The sequence below is a fragment of the Homo sapiens genome, chromosome 12 (assembly GCF_000001405.40).
Source record: "Homo sapiens chromosome 12, GRCh38.p14 Primary Assembly".
NCBI classification, from domain to species: Eukaryota; Metazoa; Chordata; class Mammalia; order Primates; family Hominidae; genus Homo; species Homo sapiens.
Window position 1 is genome coordinate 96,698,582 of NC_000012.12, and position 16,156 is coordinate 96,714,737.

General features: G+C 37.7%; 1 protein-coding gene across 2 annotated transcripts in view; it reads left to right on the forward strand.

Moving 5' to 3' along the window:
• The window catches only part of CFAP54 (cilia and flagella associated protein 54), a 385,979-nt gene that overhangs the window by 209,005 nt on the left and 160,818 nt on the right, over positions 1 to 16,156 (forward strand). For both annotated transcript variants that reach the window (NM_001367885.1, NM_001306084.2), the window contains 3 exons: positions 1,390 to 1,512; positions 6,162 to 6,215; positions 10,027 to 10,222. In NM_001367885.1, coding sequence (NP_001354814.1) covers positions 1,390 to 1,512; positions 6,162 to 6,215; positions 10,027 to 10,222 — 373 coding nt within the window. The remainder of the gene's footprint in view (positions 1 to 1,389; positions 1,513 to 6,161; positions 6,216 to 10,026; positions 10,223 to 16,156) is intronic.

The window sequence follows — 16,156 nt, forward strand, 5'->3', positions numbered from 1 at the left end:
AAACCAAATACCACATGTTCTCACTTATAAGCAGGAACTAAATATTAAGGACACATGGACACAAAGAAGGGAACAATAGACGCCAGGGCCTGCTTGAGGGTGCAGGGTGAGAGGAGGTGAGGATCAAAAAAATAACAATTGGGTACTATACTTGTCACCAGTAGAGGGCTGTGACTGCAAGTTGTTCAGGTTCTTGGCGTTTTGAACAAAGAACTGGACAAAACGCCCAGCAAAGCCAAGAAAGAATGAAACAAGAAAAGAATGAAAGCAGAGGTTTATTGAAAATGAAAGTACACTCCACAGTGCGGGAGTGGGTGTGAGCAGCGGCTCAAGGGTCTGGATACAGAATCTTCTTGGGTCCAAATATTCCCTGGAATCTTCTTGGGTCCAAATGTCCCCTATTCCCATGGCCACTTCATGCTCACCTCATGTAAATGAAGTGGTAGCCCACAATCAGTCTGATTGGTTGCAGAAAGCAGCCAACCAGAGACTGAAGTAAGTTAAAAAGGTTACTCTCCTATGCAAACATCTGATTGGTTGCAAAAGGCAACCAATCAGAGGCTAGGGTGAAGTAACAAAGTTATACTTCTATGCAAACGAAGACTCGCCTGCAATCAGTCTGATTGGTTGCGGACAGCCAATTTCCTATCTGCCCCGCAGAAAAGGTGGGGGTTTCCAAAGGGAGTAACCTCTGGTCCTTTTGTTACTCAGGCGTGGAAAGTTAGGGTTTTCCTTTCGATTTAGTTCAAGGAAGTTCGCGTGAGACAGCCTTAGATTCCCTTCCTTCAGTCCCTATTCTCCTGCCTCATACTTATTACCTGGGTGATGAAATAATCTGTATACCAAACCCCTATGACATGCAATTTACCTATGTAACAAACCTGCACAGGTACCCTGAACTTAAAATAAAAGTTAAAAATAAAAGAAAATTAGTAGTTGTCTCTATGTTGATACATTGTGGAGTTAGTCTCCCAGTTTGACTTGCCTCGTTGGGCTGGAGAACATTAGGAGTGTTTTTGTTTTGTTTTTCTTTTGAGCTATAGTTAGTAATGGGAACAAAAAAAATCATTAAAAAAACTTTTATACAGCTATCATAAAAATATTAATGTGTTTGCCTCTGATGAAGTAAGCAGCGTCTGATAAATGTCCATTGTTTTGAACAGCCGCCTGCTGTTGTTAGCTTCTTGGTCCATTGCACATGTGTATGGGCATACACATAGACACACGCATCTCTCTCCACTGTGTCTAGTAAACATTAATTCATAATGCATTACCAACATTAAGCAGAAACTTTGGATCTCAGAAAGTTGACGATTTTCTCTATACTTTTGTTTTCTAAGTAAAACAAATTGTTTAATTAAGTACCTCATTATTTCCTTTCCTTTACAGATAGAAGTCCTTATAGATTTGAGATTCTTTTCTGAAGCCTTTTATGAGATATCCCAAATTTTCTATGGAAAAAACATGCCTTGTCCAATACCTGCAGGCTATAAAGCCACTGGAAAAATGAAGGTAACCTGACAATTTGATTCAAAGCAATTTCTTTACCTATGAGGGATACATTCCTAAAATGTAAGGAACATTCCCACGAAAGTGTATTTACAATCTCTGGTATTTTAGCCCTCTTTGTTAAGCCTGGTTACAACTAACATCAGGATTTTATGAGGTTTCATTTGTCTGGGTTGGAAGAGTGTCATGGGGGAGGGAGCATGGTTTTGGAGTAGTTTTTGCAATCGAATTCTGGCTCAGGGATGCTGCATGTTGCTTTTTGTTAGTTACCATGGGCAGTCTCACTAGGCACATTTATCAGCCACTACTGCTTAGTTTTTTGAGTCTAACATTATAATTTCTGGTTAAGATTTTAAATCAAAATAGTCTTTCCTTATGTCTTATTTGCATCTCTTTGATTTTCATACTTTATACCAAAGTTTTAAGAATGTGTTCAAATTTCTTCTGATTTCTGTGAGGAGAGAACATTCCTCCATATTGTCTAACCTTTTTTGATTTTAGGAGATAGTTTTTACCTGGCTTGTTTAATTTGTATTTATAAACTGGATAATTGAAGCATCCTTGAAAATGAATACTGGAGTTGACGTTTAAAGCATAAATTAAATCAGAGGGAGCTATTATTTTCCTCTCTTTTAGTCTTCATGGTGGTCTGGGAATCACTGGGTGATCATGCTTCAGGCAGATGCTTGGACCCTCCTAGACCAGCAATAAAGGAAATGGGAGAAGGTAGCAAGTCAGTTTGCCTGGGAGAGAGTGTGTGTGTGAGGAGTGAGACTGATAGGCACAATACCAGCTGGTTGGATTCAAATTTGGAGGACCTAAAGCAACCTGGAGAATGAGCTATAAGTCTTGAAAACCACTAGCATAAGCTGACATTATATTTGCATATAATATGATCATTACTTCAGAGTATTCCCCTAAAATGTACCTGCTTATTACTCCATATGACTGCTACAGCATTATAATTTATTGTAATAGGGGATGAGGCTATCCACAGAACATCCCAAGAGGGATGTTTGTTAGGCAATTGGATACATGTATGTGCATGAGTATGTATGTATATACATCCATATATATGCATATATCTGTGTGAGATTGATAGGTAGATGGATAGAGAGATACACATAGAGAGGGGAAAGAGAGAGAAATTGGAGTCAGTTGATTGACTGTTTTGCTCATTTTCTGTGGCATAAATTTAAGCATCATCTTACCTGGATTAAATTAGCAATATTTTCTTGCTTGCTCCTCAGTTAATTACACTTTAATTAGTTAAAAAAATATTTTTTGAGTGCTTACTGAATACAGATGCCATTCCAGGCATGGAGATAGAGCAGTAGAAAGACAGCAGGGGGGCTCCTGCTTTCCTGGAGCTTACAGTCCAGTGAGGAAGACAAACACCAAATACATTAAGCACATAAGTATATGTCAGGTATATACACAGCTGTCAAGGACAGTCAAGCAGAGTTGAGGGGATGGAGAGTGACCAGGGCAGTGGAGTGCTGTTTTATTCAAAGTGGTTTGGAGAATCTCTATAATAAGCAAGTTTTGAGGGAAGTGAGCCATGGAAAGATCTGAGGGACCAACCTTCCAAGTAGGAGGAACTGCAAGGGCAAAGGTTCTAAAAGGGATGCTTGCAAGATGTGGTTGAGGAAAACCAAGTAGGCAAAGTGAGGCTGCAATGAGGAGGAGGAGGAGGAGGAGGGACCTAGGAGTCAGATCATGTAAGACCTCATAGGGCTTGATAAGGACTGGAATTTTCTCTAAATAAGATGGGAAACTGCGCAGTTTTGAGCAGAGAAGTGACGTGATAGGAATTAAATATGAAAGGACACTGCTTACTATTGGGGAAGAGGCTGTGGGTGGGCAGGGGTGTACATTGGGACACCAGTTAGGAGGCTGTTGCAGATAATCTGGGTGGGGCATAATAGTGATTGAGATGATTGTGCCGAAGGGAGTGAACAGCAGTCCGGTTCTGGGTGTGTTGTGAAGGTACAGCCAGCTGCATTTGCTGATAATCGTTTGGATACAGGATGTAAGAGAAAGGAGGCAAGGATGACTACAGAGTGTTCAACCTGAGCAACTGGTAGGAAGATTTTTTCGTGTACTGAGATGGGGAATACTGCTCCAGATAGGAGCATGTTAAGTATGAGACATGTTAAGTATGAGAGTCCCAGTAGACATCCAGGTGGAAATGCAGCATAGTTAGGTGCAGATCATATAGGGTCTGGAATTCAGGGGAGAGTTTGGGGTTGCAGGGACACATTTGGGAATGCTGGAAGAGAGATTTAAAATCACGGAACTAGATGAATTCAGCTGGGGATGAGGCAGATAGAGAAAAGCAGAAGTCAGAGGACTAGACATTAGGGTCACTCACATTTAGAGTCCAGGAGGATGAGAAGGAAAGAGAAACCAGTTGGGTAGGATGAGAAACAAGAGAGAGTTTTCAATGGTCACTGCCTTCACTGAAATAAATAAAAACAAAAGTTCAGAAGCTAATTTTTACAAGTAGATTCCAAACTTCATTTTTATCAACTAGTTTTCATAAGATAAATGTATGGGTGAATCTATCTCCCAGTAGATTCTGATTTCAGATTTTGTATTCTCAAAGTTAATTTGCAGCTTTCGAGCTTCAGTTGGGAATTTCAAAAGTGTAATTAAAAGAGGAAGTGTGTTCAGGATTTATAATTAAAATAGGTGCCAATGTTATTAAGCTGCAGGCTAGTTATTTAAAGAAGGGATTAATGAATTAAGTTTCACTTGTAAAAGAAGTAACTGAAAAAGTCCTACAGATTACTATTGAACTTTTCACAGGCCTTTAAAAAAATTCTGTATTTTAACATTATACTCATATTGGTATTCTGCTCTTATCATCAAATCTAAAGTCCCATTATTAAACTCTCTTTAATGTATACCACCAAGAATTTCCCCTTGGATTCAGTTACTCACTTTTCAATGTATTATGGGTAATAAAGAATATCTTCAAAGAAGGGAAAAATTTTTAAAACACCAATACTTTTTCAATAAAAGCTATCTGTGATATATCGTTTTGGGAGGTTCCCTTAAAAGCAGATCCTGAGACTAGGATTTGGGAACAATAGTGTCCTTGGGAAGTGATTCTAGGAAGTAAGATGAGCTAGCAGGAAAGCTAGATAGGGGAAAACCAATCCAGAGAGTGTGAACGAGAAGGTCACCGATATGGGTAACTGGGGCTCTCAGAGAGACTGGGTAGAACACTTCTGTTCTTCTTTGGTAAGGTTTATTCTCTGCACTTCTAGCCTCTCCTGAACATTCTTATGGCCAGGCAAAGAGCTACAGGTACTTGAGTAGGACACCATCTACATGTGAGCAACCTGTCCATGGAAGCTGCTGGTGACTTCCTGGTGACCAAGGGGGATGAGGGAGGGGCAAAGGGACATCGCTGTTGGATTCTACCAATGGGAATCTTTTAAAAAGGGCCTTCTATACCAAGAGAGATGCATCCTACTAGATACATCAGTCTCCTGTGGCAAATAAACTAAATGTTTCCTAATGCAACATTATATTTAGAGCCAAATATAATGACAAGTAATACACCAAAAAGGAAAAAAAAACCAAAAATATTTATTCTGATAGCAATACAATTTTATCTCAAACTGGTAACGATTTTTTTAAGTGATAATACTGACTGTTGTTAAAAGTGCAATAATTCTGACATTTTCATACAATGTGGGTGGGAGTGTAAATTGAGCCAGACTCTTTCAATTTTCTCAGTATATTCATATCTTTTGACCCAGAAATTCTGCTTCCAGGAATCTATCCTAAGGTAATAATCAGAAATATAAACAAAATAGTCATCAGTGTTATTTAAACTAGGGCTGAATGATGGGATAATGATGGGGAAGTGGCTCCCTCAGATATCCAGCAATAGGAAAGAGGTTATTAGGCTACATTCATAGGATAAAGTATCACCTACACATTAGACTGAAGTTTACAAATAATGATATGGGAAGAAAATTATGATGTAATGTTTAGTGAACATGGAATAGAAATCTATTTTTAAAAATTTAAAATACATCGGCCAGGTGCAGTGGCTCACGCCTATAATCCCAGCACTTTGGGAGGCTGAGGCGGGCAGATCACGAGGTCAGGATATCAAGACCATCCTGGCTAACACGGTGAAACCCCGTGTCTACTAAAAATACAAAAATTTAGCTGGACGTGGTGGCGGGCACCTGTAGTCCCAGCTACTTGGGAGGCTGAGGCAGGAGAATGGTGTGAACCCGGGAGGTGGAGCTTGCAGTGAGCTGAGATGGCGCCACTGCACTCCAGCCTGGGCGACAGAGCGAGACTCGGTCTAAAAAAAAAAAAAAAAATGTATGTGTGTATATATATATATATATATATATATATATATATATATATATATATATATTTAAAATACATCAAAAAGAAGTTAGTAGGAAAAACATCAAATATTAACATTGTAATTCTTAAAAGAAGTTGACTTATGTATGATTTTTACTTTATACAATACTTATCTTTTCTGACTAGAGCATAAATTACTTTTCCAATAAAAATGATAATTAAAATAATTTTAGAACACATTAAATGTTTTATTGAAAAGAATACTCAAGTAATCTTGTTCTTGCTGTTACTATTTTGTATTTTGACAGATCTTTCAATCATTTGACTCAGGAAAACTTCTTACCAGTAAAGAAAATATACAGGTAAGGATAATAATATTTTATAAACATGGTTTTCCTAAGTGTGGATAATTTTTGAGTCATTCTAATCTATTTGGTTGATACAGTCTTTGATTCTGAAAATCTGCTGTGTAATATTCTTTTCTTTTTTTTTCCCAGTATCTTTCACAAAAAGAGGATTCTACTGCCCATCTAAATACATTTGTTCCTGTCACTAATGGAATGATTGGGACTTAAGCACTTGATGACCTAGTAATATTTGAATATCTTGAAATAATAATTTTAAAAAACTTAGGCGTATTGGCAGTCTATCTCTCCTAGAAAGTGTTAGAGCAGAAGAGTTGTGGCACAACCATTGTTAAAGGGGGCTATGAATGGGGAAGGAGTTCATAGAACCAGACGACAGTTAATGCAGATATATACACATGGTTTTTATTTTTTTAAGTGCTAGGAAACAGCATTAAGTAAGGTATTTATTTTTAATTAAATAATTTTGAGAGATATTTTCTCAAAATTGCTTTATTTTTGTCTTCCATAATTTTAATAGGACTATATCTAACTTTTATTAAATGTAATCTTATTACTTTTCTATTATTGTGCATTTTATTCCACAAAGTTCACTTTTAATTATCCTTCAGATGATTCATTGTTTTTTTTTTCCTAAAAATTTGTTTTAATTTATAAGCAATTTGCCTGAAATGAAATAACTGGTATTAGGAAGATAGAAATACATATTCTTATTTCATTTTAGTGTTCCAAGACCTTGGGGTGTCTAAGAATATTTCTGTCTTTCCTATCTTAAATGCTAGAGCATCCTAAAACACTTCCTTAGGGAGTGGTTTTTGGTATAAAAAGAATGTCTGTCTGATGATTTCTTTTTATTCAAAAAGAGACTAACAGTATAATGGAAACTCAGTTTCTATTAGCTAGTTAGTTAAAACAGTACCGTTGGTCTGCTTAAGACTCTTCAGATTATACTTTATGTTTTTTTGCATAAAGGGAAAGAAGGGAGTGTTAAATAGTATTACTAATTAATCTTCTTTTGATCCTCAAGTGTTTGTGTGTAATTGTCAAGGCTCATTAAATCACTGTTTGCTGTAGAGAGAAAAGACAAGAGAAAGCTTCTCTCAACCAATCTGAAGTTTCATGCTTCAAGCTCTTCCAAACAATGGAATTTTTTTTGTTTACGTAAGGCAAATAGTTTCTCTTTTTTTTTTCTAGAATAGATAGCCCCAACATCTGCCTTATGTATTAATTCAACAACAAAATCAAGAGCCTATTGTGTGCAAGGCAATAGGCTGCCAATCAGCATTAGTTCTGATGCTGTCAATCAACATTAGTCAATCAACAATACAGAAAAACTCCAAGCTCTCATGGAGCTTGTATTTTAATGGGCAAGACTAGTAATAAAGCATGATATATAAGTAAATATATTATAAATATGTAAATTATATAGTGCATTAGACGGAGAACCATGCTGTGGGAGAAAATAAATGCAGCTGTGCATAAAGGGAATTGGGAGCATGGGGCTAGGTTGGAGATGGTAATTTTAAATGGGGTAATCAGGTTAGTCTTCACTGAAGTGGCTTTTGTAAATAGACCTGAAACAGCTAAAGGTGCAAGTCATATGAAATCTGGAGAAGGAACAATCTAAAAAGAGGGAAAGGTAAGTGAAAAGGCCCTGAGACAAGATTGCCTAGCTTGGCGAGGGACATCCAAGCCAGTGTGGCTAGAGCTCTGTGAATGATGGGAGCAGTAGGAGATAAGGTCAGAGAGGTCAAATTGAGAAGGGGTTGTAGGGCCATTGTAACTAGGCTGTTATCTGAGCAAAATGAAGAGCCACTGGAGAGTTTTGAGCAGAAGTGTGTCCTGACTGATTTATGCCATAAAGGGATTACTTTTCCTAATCTGTTGAGCCCACCATGTGCCAGGTACTGTTCTGATGCTGTCAATCAAATACATCAGTCAACCATAATACAAATTCCCAAACCTCAAAGCACTTACATTGTGTGTGTATGTGTGTGTGTGTGTGTGTTTGTGTGCGCACGTGTGTGTGTGCTGGAGATACTGAGTTTAGAGATGTTGAGTTTGAGATATCTGTTAGACATCCAAGTGGAGGAATTGAGTCAGAAGTTGATTCTGTGAATTTGGAGTTCAGAAGAGAGGTTGGAGCTACAGCGAAAAAGTTGTGATTTCATCAGCATTCAGATGAAATTAAAACCATGAGCCTGATTAAGATCACCTAAGGGGAGGGAGTGAGGAGAAGGAAGAGCACTGAGTTCCAGGACAGTCCAATATTAAGAGGTATAGGAGAAGAAGAACCAGCAAAGAAGACAGAAAAGGAGAGGCCAGTAGGATAGGAAGGAAACTAAGGGAGTGTGGTGGCCTGAAAGCCAAGAGGAGAAAGCGTGTTTGGAAAGAGTGGGTGATCAGTAGTATCAAATTTTGATGATGAATCAAATACAATAATACACTGAGTCTTTAACTTGAATTTTTTTTTTCACATTTAATGTCTCTAAAATCAGAATGCATTTTACAGTTCATGGCATGTGACAGCTTAATTGGCATATAAAATAATGGCATCAGGTCAGAAGTTACATGGTATTCAAAGACTGATAATTGACCATTAGATTTAGCCAAGTGTAGGCCATCAGTGGATTTGACCAGAGGGTTAAGACGTAGGGATGGAGTGGGTTTAGGAGCAAATGAAAGGAGAGAAACTGGAACTCTTCAGAGTGTTGCTGTGAAGGGGAGGAAAGAATGGGGTAGTGGCTGGAGAAGGAAGTTGGGATATAGAGAGTTTTTGGGTTATTAAAATGGAGGAGATGAAGCATGGCTGTGTGCCGATAGGAATGTTTCTACAGAGATTAGCATATTTATGATATAGGAGAGAATGGCTGAGTAGCCCATTGGAGAAAGGAGTGAAGGCCTAAGTGGTAATGCCAGCCTTAGGTAGCAGAAAGGAAGGTAGAGCTGTTGGGGGCAGATGCTCAGGTGGATGAAACAGATGGAGGAGTTTGCTCTACTCTGACTGCTTCAGTTTTCCTAGTGAAGTGGAGGAAGCAAGGTCATTGGCTGGGAGGAAACCAGGGAAGGAAGGGTTAGAATTTAGAGGAGAGAAGGGCGCAAAATGGTTGTCTAAGAAAGAGAGAGAGGGTGAATGGACTGGCAAAATATTGGAATATTACCAGGCAGCATTGAGGTTTGGTTGGGTACTTAAAATGGGACAATTTGTGTGATTGTGTGATTTTCTCCAGCCGTTTTCCACCCCAGGGATGCAGACCATAAGAGGGCTCAGAGTTGGATTTCAGAGTTAGAGCTGTGATTTTGCTAAGGAAGTGTGTTTGGATAGGTGAGGACCCAGGGAGTTGAGGGTGTATATGGGAAGGGGTTCTAATGATTGACGGTGGACTCTAAGCTGGGTAGGGAGATTGCTTGTCTGCCCATCTTTTCCTGTTCCTGTCATAGTATCTCTGATTTACTTACACTAAAGCAGAGTAGCCGATGTGTGTGTCTAATGAGCTTTCAGTTTGTCTATTTTGATAAAGAATCCCATCCTTCACTCTGAGCACCAGGTTTACTCTGCCACGATGGCAGAGCTGGCCTCATGAGGCACAGGTTAGAAATTGGTGGGGAACAGCAGAAGCATTGTTGAACTGTTGAGATGGTTCCGATGTTACATGTCTCTCTCAGTAGACCTCCCATTTACAATACCCCATGCCCAGCCCTATATCCCTTCATCCAACACCAAATGTGAACTGCAAAAGAATGAATATAATAATATCTGAAAAAGTATTTTTCTAATTTGCTCTTTTTCCTTTTTTCCATTTTTTAGGCAATTGATGAATTAAGAAATAAAGGCTTGCCTGCAGTTCTGGTTACAATTGGCCAACCACATCTCTTAAATAAGTTTAATTTTGTTAAAGCATACTTTTTCCTAAGTGTGGCTGCGACAATAAATTGTGTCCCAGAAAATAAATTTAAGACAGTAATTACCAACAAGAGCAAACCAAACCTACCAAACTTGGAAGGTAATTGTTTTATTTTTTGCTTATTTCTCTTTCTCCTCCCTTTCCCTAACTGTTCTCCCAGCCCCCACTAATCTATATAAATGATACAGTATATATTCTTCCACAGTTTTCTCTATGCTTATATAATGACACACATATGTACTTATGTCTAGGTGTATGCATACACATACGTGTTTATATATATATCCATATTCATATGCTTTATATATAATACACTATCATATGTATACACATACATGATAGGATAGGATTTATCATTTATTTACAAAATGGTATATTCACACTTTTCTGCATCTGGTATTTCCCATGCAGAAAAACTTCACTGAAATCACTCCAAGTCTACTGCTTTGCTTTGGTCCATTATATTGACTGTATAGTATTCTAGGCCATGATCATCCCCCATGAATGTTCCTTGGCAACAAAGTGCATGTGCACCAATAGAGGAATGATTGAATAAGAAGAAATGTGTACCTCCACTCGTGCACATGCACTTCATTTCCAAGGAACATTGCCACAGTGCAACATACCCAGATGACATAGTATATCTTTCTATGGGGTATATAACCCATGGATGGGATTTATGGGCCACAGGGAAATTTTCAATTGTATTAGATGTTGCCTTAAAAATAGGTGATTTTTACCATTCAGTATGATGTTAACTGTGGGTTTTTCATAGATATGCTTTATCAGGTTGAGCAATTTCTCTTCTATTCTTAGTTTGTCAAGTTATTTTTATCATTGAAAGGGTGTTGAATTCTATTCAATGCTCTATCTGCATCTATTGGGATGATTATGTGGTCCTTGCTTTTTATTCTATTGATATGGTATGTTACATTAACTGATTTTTGGTCGTTTAACCAACCTTACATTCTTGGGATAAGTCCCACTTGATCATGGTTTATTATTATTATTATTATTATTATTATTATTGTTTTCGAGATGGAGTCTTACTCTGTTGCCCAGGCTGGAGCACAGTGGTGCAAGCTCAGCTCATTGCAACCTCTGCTTCTGGGTTCAAGTGATTCTCCTGCCTCAGCCTCCCAAGTAATTGGGACAATAGGCGCCTGCCACCACGCCCAGCTAATTTTTTGTGGTTTTCGTAGAGATAGGGTTTCACCATGTTGGCCAGGCTTGAACTCCTGATCTCAAGTGATCTGCCTGCCTCTGCCTCCCAAAGTGCTGGGATTACAGATGTGAGCCACTGCATGTGGCCAATAATTCTTTTTACTTGTTAGATTCTGTTTGCTAGCATTTTGTTGAAAATGATTGCATTCATACTCATAAGAGATATTGGTCTGCAGTTTTCTTGTAGTGTCTTTGTCTAGTTTTGATATCAGAGTAATTCTGGGGCCTCTATTTTAAAATGTAGGTTTTATTATTCAGGTATGGTGAGACCAACAGATCAGATGACTGCTACTGAAAAAATAGTTACAGTTTCCAAGAGGAAGGGTGCGCCACACCACTGTGGGAGAAGGGAACACAGGAGAGCTTGGCTGCGTCTCAGGAGGCAGAGGGCAGTGCAGGGGAAACATGAGCAAGAACCTTTACTGTGTTTGCTATGCAAATGGATGGGTAAAGCAGAGTGAACAGGCTTAGTATTTGAATAATTTTAGTTTGAATAATTTCAGTGAGCCCTGGGGGCATAGGGGCTGTCTCTAGATATCTGATAACTGGTCTTGGGGTGATTAGGGCAGGGGAAGGGTGGCCTGGGGTAAGAGCCTAATAAAGGAGGTGGTGGGGGCATGGGCTCTTTAGTTTGCACATGAAAGGTGTACTCACAGGTGAGTCTTTTACCATCTCTAGGAACTGGGAGGTCAGCAAGGCCCCAAATGTTATCATTTCTACATCAGACATACAGAATTTTTTTTTTTTTGAGATGGAGTTTTGCTCTTGTCACCCAGGCTGGAGTGCAATGGTGTCATCTAGGCTTACTGCAACCTCCGCCTCCCAAGTTCAAGCAATTCTCCTGCCTCAGTCTCCTGGGTAACTGGGATTACAGGTTCCTGCCACCATGCCCAGCTAAGTTTTTGTATTTTTAGTAGAGACGGGGTTTTATCATGTTGGCCAGGCTGGTCTTGAGACATACAGAAAATGTAAAGGCATAATTAATATAGCCTCATAGAATGAGTTGGGAAGTGTTCCCTCCTCTTTTATATTTTAGAAGAGTTTGTGAAGAATTGATATTAACTCTTCTTTAAATGTTTGGTAGAATTCAACAGTGAAGACATCTGAGCTTGAACTTATATTTGTGGATAGCATTTTGATGAGCAATTCAATCTCTTTACTTGTAGTTCTCTTAAAATTATCTATTTCTTGACTCAGTTTTGGTAGTTTGTGTCTTTCTAGGAATTCATCCATTTCATCTGTGTTATTTAATTTATTGGCATACAATTTTTTCATAGTATTCCTTTATAATTCTTTTTTTAAATTCTGTAAGGTTAGTAGTAATGTTTCCTCTTTCATTTCCAGTTCTATTAATTTGAGTCTTCTCCCTTTTTCTTTCTCAGTCTACCTATAGGTTTTTCAATTTTGTTGATTTCTTCTACTTTTTCTTCTGTTCTCTGTTTTATTATTATCTATTTCAATCTTTATTATTTTCTTTGTTCACTACACTTATGAGTTGGGAAAAAGACTTAGAGGGGCTCCTGTGTTCTCAGTGTTACTTTGCTTAAGCTAGAGACTCTGTCCCACAAGGTGGTGAGGCTGGGTGGAACAAGGGAACCCTGTCTGCTTAGTTGTGCCAGTTTGAAGTGAAGTTTCCATCTCACTGAACAGGCAGAGGGAAGAGAAGTAGTCATCTTTCTCCAAATACCACAGACTTGCAGTACTGTTCTCACCACATTTTAGTAAGTGTTCTTGACTAGATGTTTAATCATTTGCTGTATGACCTTAGAATCATTTCCAGAGACTTTAAGCATTAAAAAACCAATAATTTTTACTAATTTAATGGTAAAGTGGGTTCATAGAGCTCTTCACATTGGGATGCCAGAAGTTAATCTCCTGAACAATGTGTTTTTGAGATTTATCTGTATTTATGTTTGTAGCTGTGGTTCCTTTATTTTCACTTTATTTCTTCATGTACTGGTGATAGACATTTAGACTGTTTTCTGTAAACATTATTATACATGTCTCTGAGTGCTTATGAGTAAGAGCTTCTATATATCTAGGAATGAAATTGATGTGTCATATTTAACTTAAAATTTAAAGTTAATTAGTATCTCTACCCTCTTCATAGATCATTTTGTTCTGATCACCCTTTCCTACTTTTATGATTTGATAGCTTTAGGTTTTAGTTTTATTTTTTTGTTAGTTTGATATTTATACATTATACTATTTTTTTTCCATCCAATGGTTGTTTAGCTTTACCTACTTATTTGCTGTTTCCTTTGCTCACCATTACTTACTGCGTTTCAGACTTTGGATGTCTCTTTTGCCTGAGATGTTATATCCTTTGTAAGTTTAGATGAATAGCTAGTGTGTCATTATCATTTATTTAAAAAATCTATCATTTCCTCACTGAAATAAGAAATTCATTATATAATAAATTCTCATATGTACCAGGTTATGATTCTTTTTTCATTTTACAGCTTTAAATTTAATATGTAATAGTTGTACATGTATGTGGGGTATATGTTTTTTTATATACACATAAAATGTGTAATGATCAAATCAGGGTAATTGGGATATCCATTACCTCAAACACTTGTCATTTCTTTGTGTTGGGAACATTCTGAATCTTCTCTTCTGTTTTGGAATATACTATATATTCTTGTTAACAGTAATCACCCTACTGTGCTATCAAACACCAGAATTTATTTCTTCTATCTAATTTTATGTTTGTACCCATTAATGAATTTCTCTTCATCCCTTCTTCCCATCTCCCCTTCCCAGCCTCTAGTAACCACCGTTCTCTCTACCTCCATGAAAACAATTCTTTTCTTAGCTCTCACATATGAGTGAGAACAGGCAATGTTTTTCTTTCTGTGCCTGGCTTATTTCACTTAATATATAATTAACTCAAATAACCCAATAGCAAAAGAAACACAAGTAATTAAAATAAAAAGTAGGCAAAAGACCTGGATAGATATTTATCAAAAGAAGACATATAAATGGCCAAAAAGCATATGAGAAAATACTTAACATCACTAATAATCAGGAAAATGCAAATCAAAACCACAATGAGATATAATCACACCCCAGTTAAAATGGCTTTTACCAAAAAGACAGAAAACAGCAGATGCTGGTGAGGATGTGGAGAAAGGAAAATGCTCATATACTGTTGGTGGGAATGTAAATTAGTACAACAACTATTGAAAACAGTATGGTCATTCCTCAAAAAACTGAAAGTAGAGCTACTGTATTATCCAGAAATCTTTTCTGTATATCCAAAAGAAAAGAAAATCAGTTTATCAAAGGGATACCAGCACTGCCATGTTTATTGCAGCACTGCTAACAATAGCCAAGATATGGAATCAACCTAAGTGTCCAGCAGTGGATGAATGGATAAAGGAAATATGATATATATACACGATGAAATATTATTCAGCCATAAAAAAGAATGAACTCCTGTCATTTGTAGCAACATGGATAGAACTGGAGGACATTATGTTAAGTGAAATAGGGTATGATTCTTGATTCTCTATTTTGGACTACTGATTTTCCTGGCTTCCTGTGTTAATAAAATAGTTAATTTGATTTTATAACTGAAAACTATTTATTACCTCCTATGTTGTTTGAGAATTGAGAATATAACAGTGAAAATAAACACAAAAAATACTCTCTGAAAACTTGTTATGGTAGAAAAATACATAAATTAAATGAATAAAGGCATTGTGGGTTACATGGTAACAAGTGCTTTGGAAAGCAGGAAAGGGGGTTAGGGAGTGCAGGAGTGGGGTGTGATTTAAAATAGGGTTATCAGGAAGAGTCTTAATAAACAGATGATACTTGAGCACAGGTCTAAAAGAGGAGAGGGAATGAGACGTGAGTTTCTGAGGAAGAGTATTCTAGATAAAGGGAACAAATACCGAGACCCTGAGATGGGCGTGTGCCTGGCATGCTTGAGGAACAGCTGGAGCCCAGTGAACAAAGGTGAAAGTTCCAGGAGAGGCTGTCAGGGAGATAACAGAGTGATTATGAAAGGATTTGAAAGTCATAATAAAATATTTGGCTTTTATTCTGAGTGAGTTGGAATACCACTGGAGAAATTTTAAGAGGAAGAATTAAAAGTTTCTAAAGCCTAACTCTGGTTTCTGTATTGAGACTAGGTTAGGCTATGGGGTTAGGGGAACGAACAGGGTGAATATATAAGACCATAATCATATTTCTTTTTACAAGGCTATTGAATAATTCAAGTTAGAACTTACGTTGGCTTCAACAAGAGTAGTAGCAGTGGAGTTGGTGAGAAGTAGCCAGATTCTGGATATACCTTGAAGGTGGAGTCAAAAAGATTTGAAAGGAAGATCAGAAGTTCACTTTGAGGCATGTTAAGTGTGGGATGCCTATTAAGCACCTGAGAGGAACTAACGAGTAGATAGTTTGAGATATGATTCTGGAGCTCAGGAGAGAAGTCCACACTGAAGAAATGTTTCGCAATCATTAGTCTATAGATGGTATTTAAAGGCCTAAGACCACACGTCATCTCCATGGCAATGAGTTCAGATGGAGAAGAGACAGGTGAAGGAATAAATGCTTGGGTTCATCAGCAAGAGGTCAAATAAATGAGGAAGAATCCACAAAGGAGACTGAGAAAGGATGAGTGAACAAGGTGTTTTGAGGAGGAAGGAGTGATCAATTGAATCAAAAGGCCAAGGAGGATGGAGGTTGGACTTAACAAAAGGAATGTCATTGAAGAATCTAGAAGATAAACTTTGTTGAACTAACCCTTATTGGAGTGGAATCAAACAGAATGTGTGCAGGGGAATCAGAGTGAAT